Source organism: Homo sapiens, chromosome 9 (genome assembly GCF_000001405.40).
Source record: "Homo sapiens chromosome 9, GRCh38.p14 Primary Assembly".
Classification (NCBI taxonomy): Eukaryota; Metazoa; Chordata; class Mammalia; order Primates; family Hominidae; genus Homo; species Homo sapiens.
In genome coordinates this window covers 122,160,206-122,184,217 of record NC_000009.12, presented here as the reverse complement: position 1 = coordinate 122,184,217, position 24,012 = coordinate 122,160,206, and the positions used below count along the sequence as shown (strand labels likewise).

Below are 24,012 nucleotides of genomic sequence, written 5' to 3'. Positions count from 1 at the left end.
CGGGCTCCTGCCAAATTTCCTGGGGAAATTCCTTAACCCCACTGAGCCTGTTTCCTCATTGTCAAACAGGGACCACATGAGTACTCCCTACCCCTTGGTTGAGGGTCTGGTGCATGGCAAAAGCTCAGTCATGGTTAGCTCTCACCACCACCATCATCGCCATCTTCCTCATGATTCTGGTGGTGGCAGCCGAGTCACATAAGCCAGGTTACTTTTCAGACCCCAATTCACACCCCTTATTCCCATTGTCCATTTAATGGAGTGTGCATTCAAATGAGGCTTGTGGTTTTGATTTTAAATTCTGTCTGGAACCCACAGGTTCAAATGCAAAAGGGCCCTCTCTGCAAATAATCACTGGTGTGTGATATTTTTAAGAAGCCAAAGCCATTGTTTCTGACTGAAGGAAAGTTGGTGCTATTTTGAAGAGCAGCACGATTAAGCGGTGGCGTTATCTCTTTAACCATTGGGAATTATATGCTGTTTGAAAGATTTGTGAGCTCTAGGACATTTGCCAGATGTGCTTGATTCGACATTTCAGACAACAAAGGGGATAATGTTGGCGGGAATCTTGACGGCATTTCTGATGATCAGGATATTCTTTGAGGATGGTACTGAGACCTTTCGGGGAAGAATTTCAGCTTTTACATAAACTAATTTGGGATGCTCACTCTCTGTCTTCCACAAAGCAAATTTAGTTCATTGTTAGTTGTATATGTTAAAATGGTTACGAGGGTTTTTTCTTTGAATATTAATAATGTGTCTTTCATCTGAGACACTCGCATGGGGTATCATTAATTGGGAGGAGGGAGTAAAGATTAGTGGTACAGTTATTTTGCAGATGATTACTACTAGTAACACTGAGGCAAGCAACAGCCCCATGAAAGAGATACTCATACAAACTGCCAGCGAGGCTCTAGCTTATCCTTCCTAAGAGGAATGACAGGGACGTGTAGGAGGGGGAAGGGCTAGAGTTAGTCTACCAGTTTCCCATCATGGTAAAGGCCATTTGCCCAAATAGCTCCAAATGCTTCTTTATTAGCTCACAGTGTATAAAGGACCCTTTTTCAAATGAAGTAGCATCTGATTGTGAGGACTGTGGTGTTTTTGTCTTAAAGCTCTAAGATGGACCTTTTCATTCACTTGGGAACCTTACTGAGCTCCCACTGGGTGCCAGGAACTGTGCTTGGTGGGGGAACAACTATAAATCAGACATGCCCCTATCTAGAGAGGAGATAGAGGAATACAGAATAAACCAGAACCATGACGCTGGCAAGAAGAATGAAAAGGACAGGCTTTGGGAAGATTGGGACTTGAATCTGACTGTATCACTAGTTGTGTGACACGAGCAAGTTTTTAACCTGAGACCAAGTGTCTTCATTGCAAACTGCAAACTGTGTCTCATGCAAATTACCCACTTGGGGTGGCAGGGAAGACCATGCGAGGTAAGCTGTTTTTTTGTTGGTTTTTGAGACTGAGTCTTGCTCTGTCATCCAGGCTGGAGTGCAGTGGCACGATCTCAGCTCACTGCAGCCTCTGCCTCCCAGGTTCAAGCAATTCTCCTGCCTCAGCCTCCCGAGTAGCTGGGACTACAGGTGTGCGCCACCATGCCCAGCTAATTTTTGTATTTTCAGTAGAGACAGGGTTTCACCATGTTGACCAGGCTGGTCTTGAACTCCTGACCTCAGGTGATCTGCCAGCCTCAGCCTCCCGAAGTGCTGGGATTACAGGCGTGAGCCACTGCACATGGCCAAGGTAAGCTGTTAAAGTGCTTGGCACAGAGCCTAGCAAGGATCCTCCACAATAAGCTTTCCTTTCCCAGCTGAGCTGTGGATGCACAGGCAAAGCCACATGCCCTTGTTTGAGGGTTGCAGGCAAAGACTTCATGGCCTTCTGTTATGTGCTAAGCATTGACAGATGAGGAGGACTGAGATGGGCGGAGAAAAGAGGGAAAGGCATTCTGTGCTGGGGCAATACATGAGGTGAGAATAGGCAGTAGGAAGTGCTGGTTGTGTTTATCAATGAATGCCAGCTAGTCCTGTTTGACTAGAACATGGGGCAGAAGAGACAGCAGGATGGAAGGTAGACCTTCAAAGTTAGGCTGGGGCTCTGAATGCCATAATCAAGCATTTGCAGATCCCAAAGTTTCAGCAGCACCTCATTTTCCAAGCAAAACCATTGAGGAGGCAGAAAGACAGCATATCCAGGCACATCTGTCTCCCTAGAGACTCCTCTCAGGCACCTAGAGAAAGCTTAACAAATCCCAGGCTCTAACTCACTTCTTTCTCTCCAGCCTGAGTCAATAATCATCATAATGATAACAGCCACAAGTACCAGTCACAGGACACCTGTCTTGGGCCAGGTGCTGTCCTATGTATTTTGAATACTTAATCTTTTTTTCTAACCATAATTTCTCCAATAGGTACTACCACAATGCCCCTTTTACAGATGAGGAGACTGAGGCTCCAAGGGGAAAAGTAACCTATTCATGATCACAGAGCTGGTCAGTGGTAGATCTAGGACTAGAGGCCAGCCTGAGGCATGGATTCCAGGCCCCAGGCTTTTAACCACCACACCACGCCATCTCTCTCACCTCTCTCAGCTCCCCAGCCTCTGTGGGGCAAGAGATCCTAACTCAGTCTCTCTTTTGTTTTGTGTTTGCAGTATTGATTAGAATATGTAATAACTGTCTACAGTTGCTATCATTTAAGGCTTTATGGTCCCAATGTAAGCAGCAGTAGAGGGTAGCGGAGAGACCACTGGGCTGTGGTAAGATGGGAGTGGGTTTGAGTTCCAGCTTCACTATCACATGTCTGTCATTCATCGCTCCAAGACCTAGTTTCCCAATCTCAGGATGAGCCCATTCCCAGCTCACTGGATGCATGAGAAGTCTGAGATGGAAGGACCCGGAGCTCAAAGGCTTTAAGGCGGGTACCAGAAATGACTGATGCTGCTAGGGTCACACAGAAGGGAGTGGGAGGGATCTGGGCAGTGCATGGCCCCACCTAGGTGCTCGAACCCAAGCAGCTTCAAGAATTGGACCAACCAAACAAAAACTGCAACCAGATTTGTCCTGAGAGCCACTGGGTTAAGACCTCTGACAGATGTTAAACTGCTTTGAAAACTTGGATGTGCATAAAAATATAATGGATTGTTTTTATTATTCAAAATCATAAGTTGTCTATCATGTGCCAGGTATTGAATTTGGTGTGATTAGTTGAACAATACGAGGGACCTAGGAGCAGGTGCTCTGCCTGCCTGCATGCTTTGTCTTTTACAAACATTTAATCAGCTCCAACTCATGGGACTCATGTGAGATGCTGGGAACACAGTGATGAATCAGACGTAGTCACGTGGTCCCTGCCCTCAAGCTGCTCCCAGACTTGTGGGGGAGATAGGCTAATAAAGATACTTCTACTGTCCATGGCTAAGTGCTAAGAGGTAGGCTTGGAAAGCACAGAGGAGGGACGCCCAACCCAGGCAAAGCAGTGGAGTGGAGGACAGAAGAGATGGTCAGGGAAGGCTGCCTAGAACAATGGTCCACCAACAGCTGGTCCCACCTTTGAAAAGGTTGTGAAATCAATTTAGTGCCTAGCAACCAGCATCTTAAAAAATAAATAGGATAGAAAATATCGGGCCGAGCGCAGTGGCTCATGCCTATAATCCCAGCACTTTGGGAAGCCGAGGCAGGCGGATCACCTGAGGTCAGGAGTTCGAGACCAGCCCAGCTAACATGGTGAAACCCCATCTCTACTAAAAATACAGAAATTAGCTCGGTGTGGTGGTGTGTGCCTGTAGTCCCAGCTACTCGGGAGGCTGACACAGGAGAATCACTTGAACCTGGGAGGCAGAGGTTGCAGTGAGCCAAGATCATACCACTGCACTCCAGCCTAGGTGACAGAGTGAGACTCCGTCTCAAAAAAAAAAAAAAAAAAAAAGAAGAAAATGTCATAGATTGTTGCATGTACAAAGATACATACATCACACGTGTGCACCTGTGTGTATCCTGGGTCATGATGTAAAACATTCCTTACTGCGGGTCGAAGGTTTGAGAGCTATAGTTAGAGAGAATATGTTGCCTGCCCTGAACCCCAAAGCCTGGCACACAGTAGATGTTCAAAGAATTTTGATACATAGAAGGATGGATTTAAATTCTCACAGCAAAGGTGACTCTTCTGCTGGTGGCCCAGCCCGTGACCTGCTGTACAATAAGCATTCCCAGCTCTGACCCACCCAGGTGGTATATGCTTCATAATAGCAGTGGCTGAGGCCCCTGTGTTTACTCTGGGATGGCCTCAGTCACCCATCTGAGGCCCAGAGGCCCAGCAGCCTGCGCCTTCAGGATGCCAACAGGAAGCACTGTTTGTGGGGGTAGATTGGAATGCAGCAGAAAGAGGTCCCTGGGGAAAACAGAAGAGGGACAGAAGCCTGAATCAGTCCCTCACAGGGTGAGGTGAGTCAGGGGTAATGACTAGGTGGCCACAAACAGAGACTCCTTTTTAGTGGTTTTCAGGACACTCCAAACTTCATCTGTCCTATAATATCAGGACCAAAATACTCCTTGGCTACCTTTCTCCTCCATCATAGACTCTTACTTAAGGTTGGAAGGGCCCTAGAAATTATCCAGTTCAACTCTCTCATTTTAAAGATGAAGAGAAAGGGGCCCAGAGAGGGAAGGCATTGGCCCAGGGTCATCCAGCAGGCAGCCTGAGAGCTGGGGCCAGGACCAGGATCCCAGGTCACCTATCCCATCACCCTGAGCCCATGCCCTTCACATGCTCCTCTCTCCCATCATCTTACCAGAAGGATCTCCTACCTAATCTGATCTCCTTTGGCCTCTTCTCTATATGTAATCAAAGAAGTCTTTCTAAAGAACAAATGAGTTACTATGTTACCTGCCTAAAGCCTTCCCTTGCTCCCCACTGCCTTAGGGTGAAAGACAACCATAACCTTTGTCCTCACCCCGCCCATCTCTCGGGCTTCGTCTCTTGCCCTTTGTCTCCTTTCATACTGTTAGCTCATGCCCCTGAATTACTTGGAGCTCCCTATTTATGACATGTCTTCTCCCAACTGTAATCCTTTTGCACATGCTGTCCCCTCTGCCTTTAACACTCTTACCAACCCTGCTGCATTCGTCTGTTCTTTTTTAGGTTACCGAGTAGATCTTTCTTTTTCCAGGAAACCTCCCTGGCTTACTGGCCTCCAGGGTAAAGTAATCCCTACTGAGTTCTCTGGGAGCAACTCTATGCTGTTATGATCTGTGTTACCACCAGTTTCTCCTGGCTCCTGAGAGAAGGCTGGATATAGAAGATAATGCTGCCATCCATTAGGAGAAAGGGAACGCTCTATGGAACCCAGCAGTTCTCCAGGACACCTCTTGGTACTTCCACTGACCACAGTAAAAGTTCATAAAAAACTAACCCAACCAACTAAATAACCAACAAAGGCAGGACCACTAAGGGTTTGGACCCTTCAGGAATGAAGGTTTTGATCACCCTACTGGTAAAAAGCCAGAACAATGGAAGGGTGGGCTCAAGGCAAATGGAACCTGGGATGAATAATGGAAGAAGGAATTTATGAATATTAACTACAGCCTTGTGACCAGTTACAGAAAGAGAACTATAGTAGTGATACAGTTTTTTCTCCTTGCTTGTATGTGTATGTCTATCTGTATCTATGTCATCTATCTTTCTATTTATTAATCTATATGCACATTTTGTTTTGTTTTGTTTTGAGAGGGGGTCTCGCTGTATCACCCAGGCTGGAGTGCAGTGGCGGATCTCGGCTCACCACAACCTCTGCCTCCTGGGTTCAAGCAATTCTCCTGCCTCAGCCTCCTGAGTAGCTGGGATTACAGGCATGCACCACCATGCCCAGCTAATTTTTGTATTTTTAGTAGAGATGGGGTTTCACCATGTTGGCCAGGCTGGTCTTGAAATCCTGACCTCAGGTGATCCGCCTGCCTTTGCCTCCTAAAGTGCTAGGTTTACAGGTGGGAGCAACTGCACTCGGTCTGTTTTGTTTTAAGAGATAAGGTCTTGCTGTGTTGCCCAGGTTGCCCTCAAACTCCTGGGCTCAAGAGATCCTTCTGCCTCAGCTTCCCAAGTAGCTGAGGTTACAGGCGCAAGCCACCATGCCTGGCTAGCATATTTGTTTTTATTAACTAATTTTTTCTTTTGTTTCCTCTTTTATCCTTGTTATTTTATAGAAGGATTATTGGCAGGAGCTTGTAGGTTATAAACTCTTCAGGCAGAACTGCCAAGGAATAACCTCACTCAAAAGATGGGTGCAGTGTCTGTTGGGGCTTCCTATCTCCCCTCTGTGGGAGAAGGGGAGAGGGCCTTGTGTTAATATGAAGGATGCATTGAAACTTGTTATACAAAAAAATATACATTTGTTAATGTTGTACAGAAGACTTAATATCTGTAGAAGAATGTGTGTGGATGCTGAGCAACAAAAGGGGTGGCTGGGCCAGTGAGAAGCTATTGACACCTGGTTAGGTGCAGTGTCAGGTAATTCCAGCACTTTGGGAGGCCGAGGTGGATGGATCACCTGAGGTCAGTAGTTCAAGACCAGCCCGGCCAACATGGCAAAACCCCGCCTCTACTAAAAATACAAAAATTAGCTGGGCATGGTGGCAGGTGCCTGTAATCCCAGCTACTTGGGAGGCTGAGGCAGAAGAATCACTTGAACCTGGGAGGCAGAGGTTGCAGGGAGCCAAGATCGCGTCATTTTACTCCCAGCTGGGCAACAAGAGTGAAACTCCATCTCAAAATGAAAAAAAAGAAGCTACTGACTCTCAGCTCCAAACTGAGACTTCCATACTTAACTTGGCAATGGTGGGACTGGAACTGTCTGAATTACATTAGTTTTGCCAGCCGGCTCCTTGTTAGGGGCTGTCAGGCAGACAAAGATACGCCCCTTTCTGTTGTCTTTGTTGTTCATGCCAGTGTCATCTCAGCAGTGTCATTTCACTTCCAGTTTCCAGTTTTTTCCACACTCCTAGAATCAGCTTCATCTCTCTCTTCAGAGGCTCCACTGGCAGTGCTCCCCCGCCAGAGGTCTGGGTCCCAGCTCTGCAGAAGCCCTGCTCTGAGCTCCCAGGAGCAAGCCCCAGCTGGTCTCTGCTCAGGGATCTGGGTTGCAGGTCCTGGGGGGTCCCTCTGTTGACCTTCTAGGTTCTCACAACCTAATCTCTTACTATTGTCCCCAGTCCTTGAGGGGGTACCTGCATCCTGCAGTTACTTTCTCTGTTACCTCAATGTCTTCCTTTGCTTTTCTAGTTCCCTGGTAGCCATCAATTTCCTGATACTAAATTCTTTCCATTTTTCTTTTTATTTTTTGAGATGGAGAATCACACTATCACCCGGGCTGGAGTGGAGTGGCGCTATCTTGGCTCACTACAACCTCCGCCTCCCAGGTTCAAGTGATTCTCCTGCCTCAGCCTCCTGAGTAGCTGGGATTACAGGCACCCACCACCACGCCCAGCTAATTTTTTGTATTTTTAGTAGAGATGGGGTTTCACTATGTTGGCCAGGCGGTCTCGAACTCCTGACCTTGTGATCTGCCTGTCTTGGCATCCCAAAGTGCTGGGATTACAGGCATGAGCCACGGCGTCCTGCCTCTTTCCATTTTTCTAACTGAACACTTACTGATACAAGATAACGCAGAGTTCCTTCTCACACGGATCCTACAGTCCAGTGGGAGAGACAGATATTAAGCAAATAATTACATTTAATTATGTTGAAATAAGTGTCATGAAGGAAAAGTACAAAGTTTATTAGCATATTAAAGGCCCTGAGGAGTTCTGCAGTAAATAAGCCTGGTTAGCATTGTTTAGGGCAACATCTCCTTATTTTATTTGACCAAGAAACTTCATGGTAAACCTATTAGCACCCAGCAGAGTTAGCGTGCTACATAGTAGTGCATTGTGCAAATGGAAAAGGGAAGTCATTGAAGAAATGTGAGCTGGGGGACTTGGAGTGTGAGCATTTGCCATGTTCCTCCAGTAGCATCCAGTGGGTTACGGGCATCTTAGCTCCAGGATTCCAGTCATAGGATCAGCTGACAATTCTCCTTGCTCTTTTTTTTTTTTTTTTTTTTGAGACGGAGTCTTGCTCTGTCGCCCAGGCTGGAGTGCAGTGGCGCGATCTCGGCTCACTGCAAGCTCCGCCTCCCGGGTTCACGCCATTCTCCTGTCTCATCCTGCCTCCTGAGTAGGTGGGACTACAGGCGCCCGCCACCGCACCCGGCTAATTTTTTGCATTTTTAGTAGAGACGGGGTTTCACCGTGTTAACCAGGATGGTCTCGATCTCCTGACCTCATGATCCGCCCTCCTCGGCCTCCCAAAGTGCTGGGATTACAGGCATGAGCCACCGCGCCCGGCCTCTCCTTGCTCTTATTCTAGCCCCATGAGGCACCTTTCTGGTCATCACTGACTTACTGAGTAAATTTCCCTATAGGGAGAGGATGCTCTCATTCACCAGCACAGATGTTCTGGTCTACCTGGCAGTTTCTTTCTCATTATAGAGCAAGGTTTCTTGACCTAGGTCTTTAGAGGGACCATTCACCCCTTAAGACTATCTGCAAAATGTGTGTGTGTATGCATGTGCGCGTGTGGGTGCACGTGTGTGTGTGTGTGCATGCATTGGACATTTTTCTGGCAAGAGGGTCCGTATCTTTTGATATTCCTAGTGGGAGTGTGACTTCAGAAAAGGATAAGTTTAGGAATCACTGCATTAAAGGAAAATGTTCTATTATTTGTGTATTGATCTCCTGTGAGTTTGGTCACTGTAAATGGGTTCTTCTCAGTCTGATCAGCCTTGTGTTGACTCACCAAACTGAGGTTCTGGATCCTCCAAGGTACCTACTCCCCTGGCTAAAGGATGAACCAACCTTCTTGCACCTCAAGGGATCACTCCCCTCTAGGCCGTTGCCTGTGCCATTTCCTCTCGCTGGGAAACCCTCTCCCCAGGCCTTGTGGTCAACTCCCAGTTATTCTTCAGGTCTCAGCTTAGAAGTCATTTCCTCCTTGAAACCTTCTCTGACTAACCGCTTCGGGATTTGATACCCCTTATTTGTGCTCCCACAGCATCCGTCCCACCTCTCTGGGGCCCCTACTTTCCCTTCCCACAGGACCATGTTTTTCCCTTCATTGTGTTTGTTCCATGATACAATTAACTGTTTATAGTACTTCTCTGCCACTTTTAGAATGCAAGCTCCACAAGGAAGGGGGGCTGTGTCCAGCTTTGCTCTGCTTTTCCCCCAACACCAAGCACAGTGTCTAGCATATAGTAGGTGCCCATTAAAATCGAAGGAATGCATACAAAAATAAGTACCTTAATCCTTTCAGTGCGACATTTATGTGCCGTCACTGCTAGACCACGAATGTGCTTTTACCTCACTCTAGGACTATGTACAGATTTGCCAGCCACGAGAAGTCCAAAAAATAAAACATCCAGGTAATCAACTTTCATCTTCTATCAGCAAAAGCTTCTTTCTCATCAAGTGTGTGCATACATTTGTACATACAGATGCACATACTCATATGTGGGTGAAGAGAAAACGTGCTGCAGTGTCGGAAGAAACCTACCTGCGTTTCTTAGAAAGCGGTTCCTATAGTCCTTGACTACCCTCGTGACTGGGTTATAGAAGCCGTCTCCACAATCGTAATAGCCCTTGGGGATTTTTCTAGGTGGGTCCATATTGGTGAGTTGAGCCATACCTTGAAAGAACATAATGGGCAATTAGTTCACCATGAAGGCCAAATCCAAACCCAGTGTTCCCATAAGGTCCACTTGTGGCTGGTGGCTCATGTGACTATCTGGCTCCCCTGTTGAACTAAATACCCCCTACTCAGGGCAAGAAGCAAACCCAGCAGAAACGGTGCCCCAAAGGAACTTTCTGAACATGGCTCTTGGGAACAGGGTCTTGGGAACGAGACCCTCTGTCTTCTTCTTCCTTTGACCCCATCCTCCTCCATTTCTTCGGATACCATGACAAAGGGCACAGGTTCTGAAGTTAGACAGACCCTGAGGGTAAGTCAGAGTTGGCAAATGGATAGGAGAGCATCAGATCCAGAAGAGGGGTGGCATTCAAAGCGTGGGCAGAGGCCAGAGGCATGGATCCTTAAGCCCCACTCTGGAAACCTTGTAGAGCAGAGCACGTATGAAGGAGAACAGCAGAAAAGAAATGGATCAGGTGGACAAGGGGCAGGTGGTGGAGAACTTTGACTCTTGCCAAAATTACCACGGTGGCTGCCACTCATTGAATGTTTATTATGTGCCAGGCATTGTGCTCCTCTTTTATTTAATCCTGAGAGCAGCTCTGTGGCTCCATTTTACAGATAAGAAAACTGAGGCTCAGAGAAGTTAAAGTAACTTTCCCAAGGTTATCCAGCTAGGAAGCAGTCCAGCTCTGGAACCTGTATGTTCAGCTGCCAACATCAGGGGAGGAGACAGCCTAGGTGCAGCCACAGGACCAGGGACACTGAGACCTCTGGGAGAGAAAGAAGATTGAGTGCACCTTTTAGGTCATGCACGCTAGGTATGTGTATCTTGAAACGCCATGGCTCAAGTAAAGGGAGAGGTTGGAATAAATAACTTCTCAGGTTCCTTCTAACTATAGTTCCTGTAATTCCTTGTTCTCTAGACTGAGAGCTGGATGCCCACTGAGCACACAGCACCATGCCCACAACTCAGTGTCTTGCACACAGTAGGTACTCTTGTGTTGCTTAATGACATACCTAACCGTAACCCTGACACTGACCCTGATCCTAAACCTAACCCCATATGTACTGGCTAATGACTACTGAGCACTTACTCCATGTCAAGCACTTTACAGCCATTCTCTCACCAAAGCCTCATGCCAATGCCCATCTCACAGATGCTCGAAGAGGTCGCGGGGCACTTTTAACCCTCACCCTGCCTTGCAGGCAGGGCGAGTTGCCCTAACAATGCCAGCCCCAAGAGGCAAAGTGTGGAGTGACAAGGGAAGGAAGTAGCTACTTAGAATCAAGCTGCTCTTCTGAGGGTCACAGGAGAAGTAGGGGAGAGCCAGGCATGTTCGGGGAGAGCCAGGCAGGTTCGGGAAATGCCACCACGAGACTGGCAGAGGCTTAGCTTTAGCATAACCAGCCATTGTGTGAGAGCTAAGGCTTAAGGCTGAGGGCTTTTTGCCTACAGCCTTAATTGGGGTGAAGAGCCCATGGCAAAGTCCAGGCCTCCCATCATAACTAATTCGGGAGGAGTGATTTGCAAGGTTCTCAAGCTGCAGCTAGACTGGCAGCTCTTTGAAGGGAGAGATGATGTCCTCTTAACTCTGGTCTCCCTGGGTCCAGCCAGCGTCTGACATACAGTAGGAGCTTAGGAAATATTTCTTAATGTCATTGCCTTAACTCCCCTAAGCACATACTTCACCCTGCACTGTGATGTCAGTATCATTATCCCTGTTTGACAATAACTCTTTAACGAGTACCCACTGTATGCCAGACAATGTGCTAGGGCCCTGCCCTCATGTTGCTCACAGCTTGGGAAGACGAGCTGAACACTCACGATCCAAGCCCTGGGAGGAGGTCATGGCTGCTGTGATATGCCACAGGGAGACCTTACCTAGTGTGGGAATTCAGGGAAGGGGCTCCCAGCTTCAGGACGTTGAGCTGAGAACTGAAGTACGGGAAGGAGTTATTTGGGTGAAGTAAGAGGGTTAAAGTATTCCAGGCAGAGAGAATGGCAGGAAAAAGTGTGGTCTCTTTGAGAAACAGAAAGAAAGCAAGTATCGCAAGAGGGGAGAGAGAAAAACCGAGAAGGGTGGGTAGCCTAGGATGAGGCTGGGACATGAGCAGGAGCCAGAGAATGTCACTGTTTCTGAGAATTTGAAACCTTATCTTGAGGGTATAGGGAGCACTCAAGGGGCGGGGCGGGAGGGAGGCAATCAGATTCACACTTTAAAAGATGTAAGCGGCCGGGCATGGTGGCTCACGCCTGTAATCCCAAGTTAAGGAGGGAAGGTTGCTTGAGGCCAGGAGTTCTAGATGAGCCTGGGCAACATGGCAACACCCATCTCTACAAGAAACTTAAAAAAAAAAAAAAAATTAACCAGGAGTGGTGGCGCATTCCTGTAGTTCCAGCTACTTAGGAGGCCAGATCACTTGGCAGGAGGATCGCTTGAGCCCAGGAGTTCAAAGTTACAGTGAGCTATGATCATACCACTGCACTCCAGCCTGGGCAACAGAGCAAGACTCTGTCTCAAAAAAAAAAAAAAAAAAAAAAAAAAGATGGAAGTGACTGCAGAATGGAGAATGACCTCAAGGGCGCCAAGTGGGGATCTCCGGAGTCAGGTCATCAAGGGGAAAGATGATGGAGGGCTGGAACAGGGCAGTGGCAAAGAGTATGAAGAGAATGCTGCCTGGCACATGGAAGTGCTCAATAAATATTTGTTGAATAAACAAATAAAGTCTATATTTCAGAGGTAAAATCCATAGGACCATTGCACTTAGGGGGCAGGGGAAGGGAGGATTAGGCTTACCTAGGTGGATGGGCATGACATTCAGTGAGGCAGCCATCACGGTGGGGGTGACAATGAATTCAGTGCAAACAAGTTGAGAACGACCAATACAGGTGTCAGGGAAGCTTGATGCAGGGATCTTAGGCTCAGGGATTCTGATTTCAATTTAGAAGCTGATGGTAGTTGAAGGCTTAGAAGTGTATCAACTTGTTCAGGAAGAGCATATAGAATGAAAACAGAAAATGCCTAAGCCAGAGAGCCCCGGGAACCTCAACGTGAATAACTGGGGGTGGGGGGATGTTGAGGAGGCAGTGGCAAAGAAGCCTGGGGATAGGAGGAAAATAGCAGAGTAAGTGTCAGGAGGGCAAAGGGAGAGAAGGCGGCTCACCCGGTCAACTAACTGACCCAAGGTCATGAAGCTGGGAAGGGAAGGAGATGGGGGTTTGAGCTCAGGTCTGCCTGACTCCAGTGCCTGAGTGCTTCCTGGAGGCTTCTGCCCTGACGGAGGTTGACTTGTGCAGGCTCATCCTGCTATAGAGAGAGAATGCTAGGACTCAAACCCACAATTTCTGGCTCTATGCTCTGTCAACCACAGCTCATGGTCTCTCATAAGCTAAGTTGGGATTGTTTTTATAGTATACAGAGTTGTTTCCCCATCTGTCATTTTGGATATATTATCTCTGCTGTGCCAAAAACTACACTTTTCTTTTTTTATTTTTTTATTACTTATTTATTTTTTATTATACTTTAAGTTCTGGGGTACATGTGCAGAATGTGCAGGTTTGTTACATAGGTATACACGTGCCATGGTGGTTTGCTGCACCCATCAACCTGTCATCTACATTAGGTATTTCTCCTAATACTATCCCTCTCCTCCCCTCGTCTTGAGGCTCACCTGACCTGGAACACGTCTCAAAATTTTAAGGTGCCACTCTCTGAATCCAGACTTATAGTCCAAATGTAGCCCTCCATGATGAGACACGGTTTTTGCAGGGAGGTAGCATGATAAAGAGGACCTCAGAGAGGAAGACTGGGCTACCAGTGTGAGCTCTGCCACAGGGAACCATGTCTGAACTCCACAGCCTCAACCTGGAGTGACATGGGACTAGGAAGGCTGACTGGGCAGGGTCATCTGGACATTAGGGAGACAGGGATTACAGAGAGCCTCCCCCAGCACCTGATACACAAAGCACATGCTCTGTCAGTACTGCTTTCGTCCTTAACTCTTTCTTTTTAAAATATTTACATAATTTTAGTGTTATAGTAGGTACCACGAATAAGAACAGCTGACATGTACCGTGCACCCACATGCATTCAAGGCACTGTTCTAAACACCTGACATGAATTATCTTATTTACAACAATCTTGGGAGGTAGATGATGCTATTGACCCCATTTTGATTTTTTTTTTTTTTTTTCTGAGACCAGAGTGTCGCTCTGTCGCCCAGGCTGGAGTGCAGTGGTGTGATGTCAGCTCACTGCAAACTCCACCTCCTGAGTTCAAACGATTCTCATGCCTCAGCCTCCTGAGTAGCTGGGATTACAGGCATGCCACCACACCCGGCTAATTTTTGTATTTTTAGAAGAGACGGGGTTTCACCATGTTGGCCAGGATGGTCTGGAAGTCCTGACCTCAAGTGATCCACCCGCCTTGGCCTCCCAAAGTGCTGGGATTACAGGCATAGTCACCACGCCCAGCTGATTGACTCCATTTTGAAGGGGAGAAACTGAGGCGCAGTGGGTAAAGTCCCTTGCCCATGGTCCTCTGGCTAGCACAGTGGAGCTGAGATATGAGGACTGGCCTTCCTGGCTCCAGGACCTGGCTCTTTTGCATTCTTCTACGCCTGCTCAGTTCCTCTTCCCCTTTAAGTTACTTTAGTAGGACACAGTCCACTTATCCGAAACTGTCTTAGTTTCCCTCTCAGTTTGGGTATGAAGGAAAGGGTGGGTGCCTGGGTACCTGCAGGCTTCAAGCCATTGAGGATCTCTGTGTAAAACCTCCGATCATAGCCGTCGCAGTAATGCCAGTTTTTCTCATCATAGTGCAGCCCATCTGAGAACGTATATGTGCCCTGGAAGACAAGGAGCACACACGTGCATCTGAGGAAGCTGAAGGCTTTTGGCCAAGAGGTTCAGATGTCAAGGGAAGTGGGGGCCTTTCTGATGGCTGCAGTAAAGAAGTGGTAACTATCACAATTATTATGGTTGTGACGACAAGAGGGAATGGGTATAAGTGCCGAGCCCTGTCCCTGCCGCTCAAAGTGGGTGAACTCACTTTGGCAGATGAACTTGGGCAGACGACCCACTCTCTCTGGCCCTTCATTTCCTCATTTGTAAAATTAAGTTAATGATAGTGTACATAAAATAGGGTTGATTGAAAATTCAATGAGATAGCACACGTGAAGCATTTAGCACAGTGCCTGGCTGTGATGGTTGATTTTGTGAGACACCTTGACTGGGTTAAGTGAAAGGGATGCCCAGATAGCTGGTAAAACATTTCTGGGTGTGTTCATGAGGGCGTTTCTAGAAGGGATTCACATTTTAATCGGTGGGCTGAGCAAAGAAGTTCCACCCTCACCAAAGTGGGTGGGCACCATACAATCCGTTGAGGGTCTGGATAGAACAAAAAGGCAGAGGAAGCGCCAATTCCCTGTCTCTGCTTGTGCTGGGACATCCATCTTCCTTGCCCTTGGACATCAGCATTCCTGGTTCTCAGGCCTTTGAACTCTGACTGGGACTTACACCATTGATCCCCCTGGTTGAGGCCCTTGGGTTTGGACTGGAACTACACTAACAGCTTTCCTGGGCCTCCAGGTTGCAGAGGGAAGATTGGGAGGCTTCTTAGCCTCCATAATCTTGTGAGCCAATCCCTAATATAAATCTCTTTCCATACATCTCTATATATCCTATTGGTTTTGTGTCTCTGAAGAACCCTGACTGACACACTGACACAAAGTAAGCACTCAATAAATGTTATTATTCTTTTATTATTATTATAGCTGGAAAGGTCAGAGCCATCAGCCACGGCCCTTTGTCCAAACACATACATTCTGCCTTTGCTGCCTTACTGCTAAAGGAAGCCTCAGGATGTAGAAATTGCATTGGCCTGGGCATCAGGAAACACGGGTGGAAATTCCAATGATACTATTAATTCACTGTGTGACCTCGGGAAAGTCACATCCCCTTCCTGGGGCTTAGACTCTCCAAGCTATAAAACAAGGAGCCTTTCTTAACCTTTTTTAGGTCATGAGTCAGGCCCCAAGATGCTCTTAGTGAAACTGATGAAAGCTATAGATGCTTTTCCTGGAGAAAAACTTAGTCCCCTTTACACAGAAACTTCTGTATATAAATCAAGAGGTTTCAGTGACTCCCTGAATTCTATTCATGACTCACAAATACCAGGGGGTAAGAATCCTTGGATTAGGTAAGTTATAATGATAGTAGCAGTGATGGTGGTAATAAGAGCTAACATTTATTGAGTGCCTCTTGTGTGCTGGGAACTTAGCAAAGTGTTCACATATATATATTGAGGTGCCTTGTACTATTGTGGTAGGCTGAATAATGGTCCCCCAAAGATGTCCCTGTCTGCTGCAACCTGTGAATATGCTACTTTACATGGCAAGAGGGATTTTGCAGATGCAATTAAATGAAGGATCCTGAAGTGGGAAGATTATTTGGATTATCTGGGTGTGCCAAATATGATTGCAAGGTTCCTATGAGAGGGAAATAGTAAGGTCAGGGTGAGAGAAGAAGAGATGACGATGAAAGCAGAGGGACGAAGGGTGACGTGATGATGAAAGCAGAGGTCGGAGTGATGCGTGGCCATGAGCCAAGGAATGCAGGCAGCCTCTAGAAGCTGGAAAAGGCAAGGAAACAGGTTTTCCCGTAGAGCCTCTGGATGGAATGCAGGCTTGCTGACTTATTTCAGACTTTTGAGCTCTAGAACTGTAAGATAATACATTTGTGCTGATTTCAGACTAAATTTGTGGTAACCTGTTATAGTACCAACACATAACTAATGCAACTAACTGTCCCGAGTTGATAGGTGAAGAACTCTCAGGGAGGTGAAGTCGTGGGCCTAAGATCAGGCAGTAAGTGGTGTAACAGATGCAAACTCATCATGGCCTCTCCACAGATCCTTCCAGATCTAGAGGGAGAGGATTCTAGAGCCCTGGGAGATCCAGAAGCAGGGAGAAATTAGCCGGGCATGGTGGCACATACCTGTAATCCCAGCTACTCAGGAGGCCTAGGCAAGAGAATAGCTTGAACCCAGGAGGCAGAGGTTGTGGTGAGCTGAGATCACACCACTGCACTCCAGCCTGGGCGACAGAGACTCGTTTTCAAAAAAAAAAAAAAAAAAAAAGGTCAGGTGCGGTGGCTCACACCTGCGCACCTGTAATCCCAGCACTTTGGGAGGCCAAGGCGGGTGGATCACAAGGTCAAGAGACTGAGACCATCCTGGCAAACATGGTGAAACCCAATCTCTACTAAAAATACAAAAATTAGCTGGGCATGGTGGTGCACGCCCGTAGTCCCAGCTACTCGGGAGGCTGAGGCAGGAGACTCGCTTGAACCCAGGAGGCGGAGGTTGCAGTGAGCCGAGATTGTGCCACTGCACTCCAGCCTGGTGACAGAGTGAGACTAAAAAAAAAAAAAAAAAGTGGGGGGAGTGGGGGAGAAGCAAAGAGAAGAGTGAATGGAACAAGGTGGGCACCAGACAGGGAGGATGGGGTGCCAGAGGGTGAGGCTCTTCTTGCGTGAGGATCTCTCCTCCACAGCATCCGTCCCCCCAGCTGATCACCTTTATGGCCAATCCGTTTTCCCAAATGGCGTCGTATTGGCTTCCGCTGGGGAAGTACAGGGTTCCCTCGCCGTGAAACATGCCATCCTTCATTTCCCCAACATATATTGTTTCGGTAGGGAGGATGTACTTGGCTTTGCCCTCCATCCTGTAAAGACACAGGGAAATCACTGAGCCCTGTGTGACAGCTGGAGGATCAGAGCTGGCAGGCAACAGAGTGAGCAGGAACCCCGTTCTCAGCATTCTCATCCTTCTCATCCCAGCAGTACTCTGCTGAAAACAAAATTTTTGTTTTGTTTCCCTCAAAAGCTCAAAAACGAAAAGAGGGGAATAGAGTTTGCTCTGTTCATTCTCCCCTTCACCTAGAGGCTCACTCTCACCTTGGAGTTCACACTGCTCCCTGAAATAAACCCCCCTAGTAGGCCCAGAGAGCGTAGAGATGTGCCCAAAACCACACACAGTAAAAACTGTGGACACTAGAGCCCAGGTTTTCTGGCAGCTAGTTCTGTGATTTCTCTGTCCCCCATGACCAACCCATCCTTGCCTATTATGCCACAAGTGGAATATTAGGGAAAATATGAAATTTAGAGACAGGAGTAAGGGTTTGAAGCTTACCACCATTATATATATATATAATCTTGGATACTAATATTGTTTGGCTGTGTCCCCACCCAAATCTCATCGGGAATTGTAGCTCCCATAATCCCCACATGTCATGGGAGGGACTCAGTGGGAGGTAACTGAATCATGGGGGTGGGTTTTTCCCATGCTGTTCTCATGATAGTGAATAAGTCTCATGAGATCTGATGGTTTTATAAAGGGCAATTCCCCTGAACATGCTCTCTTGCCTGCTGCCATGTAAGATGTGCCCTTGCTCCCCCTTTGCGTCCACCATGATCGTGAGGCCTTCCCAGCCATGTGGAACTGTGAGTCCATTAAGCCTCTTTCCTTTATAGATTACCCAGTCTTTGGTTATGTCCTTACAGCAGCATGAGAACAGACTAATACAGATACTTTCCCAAACCTCTTTGCTTGTGCCTCCCTCCCTTCCTTCCCTTCCTTCTTTCCTTCCAAACAGGTATTTACAGAGCACCTACATTTTGTCAGGGACTATGCTGATGGTCCAACTTGCTGAATACAACACAGATTCAACAGTGATCAAGGCAGATGCGGTCCCTGTCCTCGGGGGGCTCACAGTCTAGTGGGGGACAAAATTGAGTAATTATACAATGTGTGATAAGTGCTATGCAGGAGGAAGACAGGCTCATACAGGAGAACAAGGCAGGGACACCAGCTTGACCAGTTGACTAGCTTCTTTGTTTTGTTTTTTGTTTTTTTCCCAAGACCAGATCTTGTTCTGTCTCCCAGGCTGCAGTACAGCTGTGTGATCATGGCTCAATGCAGCCTCAATCCCCTGAACTCAAGTGATCCTCCCACCTCAGCCTCCCAAGTAGTTGGAACCACAGGTGTGCCCCACCACGCCTGGCTTATTTAATTTTTTTTTTTTTTTTTTTTTTTTTGTAGAGACGGGGTTTCCCTATGTTGCCCAGGCTGATCTAGAACTTCTGGGCTCAAATGATCCTCCTGCCTCAGCCTCCCAAAATGTTGGGATTACAGGTGTGAGCCACTGCACTGGGCTGACCAGTTTCTTTATGGGTGAAATGGCTGCAATTAATCCAGGTAACATATAACGATTTTCCTAGTAAAGGGCCTGACATATATATAGTGAGTGCTTAATAAATATGCTTTCATTCATTCCTTCTCCATTCCTCCTAACAAGCTGAAGGCTCCTCTCCTAACTCTGACCTTCTTTAGGCTTTTGCTAATACCTCTGTCGGGATGTGTAACACTTTCTATCTTGTTTTGTAATTAGGTATCTTATCTCCTGTATTTAAGAAAAGCTTCTTTAAAGGAAGACTTTGGTATCCTCAGCTCCTAGAACCATTAAGCAGGTGCTTCATAAACGTCTCCTGAGTAAAGAATGAAGGAAACAGAAAGAGTAGTCAGTGAACAGAGTGGATGACAAAGTTGTTGAGATAACTGAGTGAGACGATGGTTGTGAAACTATAGCAGAATGCCCGGCATAGAACAAGAAATTGAAAACTATTTCACTTTTATTCTAGTGCAAGACATGGGGGGAAGGGAGAATTCCTCTTCTCCTTCCCTCCTGTACTCTTTGCTTGAGCTCACATCTATCATTTCTAAGCACCATCTCCATATTCAAGTTCTACACCCTTCTCTGAGGTTAGACCCCACCCCTTTTCTTACCTTGAACTGGACATCACTGTTCAGACCTCTCACAGACATCTCCAACTCGCCTAAAACAGAACTCATCTCCTCCTCCCCTAAGCAGCACCTCCTTAGAGTTCTCTATTTCCATGAATGGTATCAGAATCCTCTGGTTCAAGGCCAGGAGCTGGGCCCAGGGCTGGGGCTGTAAGCCATCTCTGGACGGGACTGGAGCCAATCAGCTGCCAACTCCTGGCAGTAAAATCCCCAAACCTCTCCTACATTTTTCTCTTTCCTGCAGCTTCACTGCTTCTGCCTTGGCCCAGGGTTCTGCTGCCTCTTACTGGGACAACTGCAGTGAGCTCTGAGCTGATCTCCCCATCTTCACTTTTCCTGCTTCCCTCCTCTCTGTCCCTCCTTCTCTCCTTCTCCTCCCTTCTTCTTTTTCTCCTTCACTCTCTCTCTCTCTTTCCCTTCCTTTCTCCCTCCTTCTCTTCCATTTTAAAAAATTCATTCAAGGTGAAAAGCCTGCCTTCTAAATTCAAAGTAAGTTAAAAAGAAGAAAAAAACCACTTTATAGTGAAGGCTTCAATCCATAATAAGGATATGATTACCAGATCTCAAATACCTATCAATTAGCTGGGCATGGTGGCGCATATCTGTGGTCCCAGCTACTGGGGAGGCTGAGGTGGGAGGATCGCTTGAGTCCGGTGGGGTGGACATTGCTGTGAGCCAAGACTGCACCACTGCACTCCAGCCAGAGCACTCCAGAGTGAGACCCTGTCTCAAACAAACCCCTCAAAACCTATGATTCATTCATTCATTCATTCAGCCAACATTTACTGAGTCTCTACCACACATATGCATTATGAGGAGAGTTACAGAGATGAAATAAGTTTTATTTCCTGATGCTTGGCCCTACCAGGATCTATCAGTGGTTCCTCCACCACCAGAATTGTGCACGGTATTGAAATTTCTTTGCCAGAGCACAGACCGCCTGTCCAGCTTCCCTTTGCATAACTCCTCTGGGCACAACCCACTCTCCTGCCAAACTGAACTGCCAGCTCTACTCCATACGTGCCCTCTGGGCTATTGCTCATGCTGTTCCCTCTGCCTAAAAACTTCTAGAAAAAGAATTCTTCACCTTGCATCTCCAACCACCTAAATCCTACCCAACCTTCAAGGCCCATTTCAAATACTATCTCTTCCACGAAGCCTTTAAGGACGGCTCCGACTGTATGTGGCCTCTGAAGGGCCACAGCAGCAGGGCTCTATTGTAGGAAGCCTGTGGGCTTTACAGTCTGATCGACCTGGGTTTTAATACCTGCTCTGCCAAATGCTAACTGGGTGACTTTGGGCAGGTTTACTCCGAGCCTTACTTTTCCCATCTGTAAAATAGGATAATGATATCTATCTCAAAGAGTCCCTGTGAAGAGAAGATGCAGGCAAAGCCACCCAGAGCACAGTAGTTACTACATAAATGCTATGGGCGTCCCTTCCTCCCCTGTGTCTGTAGGTCTCTTCTGGCACTTACCTTGTGGTGCTTTGGAGTGGAGTTATCTAGAACTCAATTGTGCGACTACTCCAAAGAAACCATAATATTGAGGTCAGACAGATACTACATTAACCTTTTTTTTTTTAATATTCACACGTGGTACAGGGAAATCATGTCTCTTTTAAGGTTTTTTTTTTAAGTAGATACATTGAAGTGTAATTGACATACAATAGGCCACGTGTTTAAAGTGTACAATTTGACACGTTTTGACATCACCTGGGAAAACATCATCACAATCAAGACAAAATATCTACTCCCCACAAAAGTTTCTGCATGCCTTTCTGTAATACTTCCTCCTTGCCCCTGCCCACAATCCTCATCTCTAGGTGACTACTGATCTACTTTCTGTCACCATAGATTTGCATTTTCTAGAATTTTACATAAATGGAATCATACAGTATCTACTCTTTTTTTGTCTGGCTTCTTTCACTTAACATAATTTTTTGAGATTCATTCATGTTGTTCTGTGTACCAATAGTTCACTCCTTTTTATTGCTGAGTAGTATTCCAATGAATGGATATACCACAATTAGTTTCTTCATTCCCCTGTTGATGACATTTGGGTTTGTTTCTAGTTTTGGTTATTATAAATAAGGCTGCTATGAGTACTTGTATACATGTCTTTGTGTATATATACACTTTCATTTCTGGGGTAAATACCTATAAGTGGAATGGCTGTTTAACTTTTCAAGAAACTGCCAAACTTTTCCAAAGCAGTCGTACCATTTGATGTTCCTATCAGCCATGGAGAGTCTACATAAACTTTTTAAACCAAACGTTAAATATCAACTTCCTACTGTATAGAGAGGTTACTCTATTCATTTAAACTCCAAGAGGAAAATATCCCCTCCCTAAATTAAAAAAAATTGATTGAGTATCTACCATTTGTAAATAACATCCATATATGATCATTACATATTCCTTGGAACACTGCTGCTGAATGTGCATTGCTTTCCCATTTTACAGATGAGGAAACTGAGGTATGGATGGTTAATTAAGTGTACAACAAGCAAATGGCAGACTTGAGCCCAGACCTGTCTCATCCTCTCATTACATGCTGAAATTTGAGATGCCCCAAATAGAATTCTAGTTAACTGTTGTTAAAAATACAAAATCAGTACAGAACAACACATGTCCAACTTATGAAAAGAAGTATAACAAGTGAAAAACTGCTGACTTCTTGCTAGTTATGGGAAATTGGGAAGCCCTGTTCAGGTCTGGGAATCCCTATCGTGGTTACAGAGGTACCAGACAACCTCAAGCAAAGCCCAAATTCCTAGGGCCAAAGCATGGAAATGGCTGATTCAGCACACAAACCCAATGAAAATACACAGAAGGCCAAAGGCAAATGGTTGAAAGCCTTCCGTCTTTTACCTTGTCTGTGTGTTTCTCTCTCACCCATATACAGCCCATCGAAAATTAATGTAGTTTCTCAACTTTTTGTGCCTAAAATGCCCAATACCCCATCTCTATCTGCCAAAATTCTACCACCTTCACTGTAGCAGAGCCTTGTGAAAAGTAAGAATGTGGTTTGGACAGAGGATTGGGTTCAAATCCTGACTCTGTTACTTCCTAGCTGTGTATCCATAATGGTGGGCCAGTCATTTTGCTTCTCCTAACTTCTGTTCCTTTATTTGCAAGGTCAGCCTGAACTATCTCACTGAGTAGTGAGAGGGAGTACACACCAAGCACCTCTGCCACTTACCTGCTGAGTAGGATAAGTGTCTCAAGCCCTGTAAGGGTCACCTTTCTTACCTGGAAAGATAATAACATCTTCCTTGCAAAATTGATGTAATGATTAGAGAGATAGCATCCCATAGCATTCCTACCACCCTCTCTAGGAATCTATCTCCTATCCCTGTCCAGACCACAGATCCCTCTTTCCTATTAACTCAGAATGCCCTGGAATTCCACCAACTTGTGAATACAGAGCCCCAAGGTGGGAGTGCTTCACAGTCCCGACAACTAGCACTGGTTCAGCAAACCACTTCATATCGTCCAGCCTTGGTTTCCTCAGCTATAAAAACAGAGATTCCACTTTCTTCATCCAGGGTGGTTGGCAAAAAAGAGTGGCCACCTCTGTGTTTCCTCTGCTTCTCTCTACTACAGCTCTTACCACACTGAATCGCAGTTATCTGTTATGTCTACTTGTCGCATCATGTTTGAATGAACTTTCTGAAGACAGGGATTGTGCCCAGAGTCAATTACAGGGCCTGGTACTCGGTAGCCACTCAACATTGTTGAATTGCTGGGCACGGTGGCTCATGCAAGAGGATCACTTGAGCCCAGGAGTATGAGACCAGCTTGGACAACATAGCAAGATGCCGTCTCTACAAAAGGCGTTGAAAAATTTGCTGGGGGTAGTGGTGCACACCGGTAGTCTCAGCTACTTGGGAGGCTGAGGTGGGAAGATTGTTTGAGCCTAGGGGGTTGAGGCTGCAGTAAGCAGTGAACAGGCCACTGCACTCCAGCCAGGGCAACAGAGCGAGATCTTGTCTGAAAATAAAACAAAAACGAGAGAGAAAGAAAGAAAGAGAGGAAGGTAGGAAGGAAGGAAGGAAGGAAAAAAGGAAGGAAGGAAGGAAGGAAAAGAAAAGAAAAAAAAACTGTTGAATTGTTTTTTACTACTAGTCCACTACAGTGATTTGTGTATATAATCCTCTATAATAATCCCTAGATCGTGAACTCCTCCTGGAAGGAAGCGACCGTGTAGATTCAGATTAGCCAGTCTCTCTTCCCTAATCTTCGTGTTTGTTTTTATAGCATTTACCATTATCTGTAATTATTTTATCACTTATTTGTTTATTGGCAATACATCTCCAACTGGATTATAAACTCCATAAGAGCAAGGATCTTGACATTTTAAATATTCTTATTCCTATGTTTAAAACTGGCAGATAGCACACACACACAGTCAATGCACACA

At 46.3% G+C, this 24,012-nt stretch overlaps 1 protein-coding gene across 2 annotated transcripts in view; it reads right to left on the bottom strand.

Moving 5' to 3' along the window:
* Positions 1–24,012, bottom strand: part of MORN5 (MORN repeat containing 5) — a 40,176-nt gene that overhangs the window by 15,866 nt on the left and 298 nt on the right. Inside the window, exons 2-4 of one of the 2 annotated variants that reach the window (NM_198469.4) lie at positions 17,303–17,450; positions 14,462–14,573; positions 9,591–9,722 (exon numbers count right to left, since the gene is read on the bottom strand). In NM_198469.4, the coding sequence (NP_940871.2) occupies positions 9,591–9,722; positions 14,462–14,573; positions 17,303–17,450 (392 nt within the window). The remainder of the gene's footprint in view (positions 1–9,590; positions 9,723–14,461; positions 14,574–17,302; positions 17,451–24,012) is intronic. The other variant, NM_001286828.2, reaches the window with a different exon arrangement.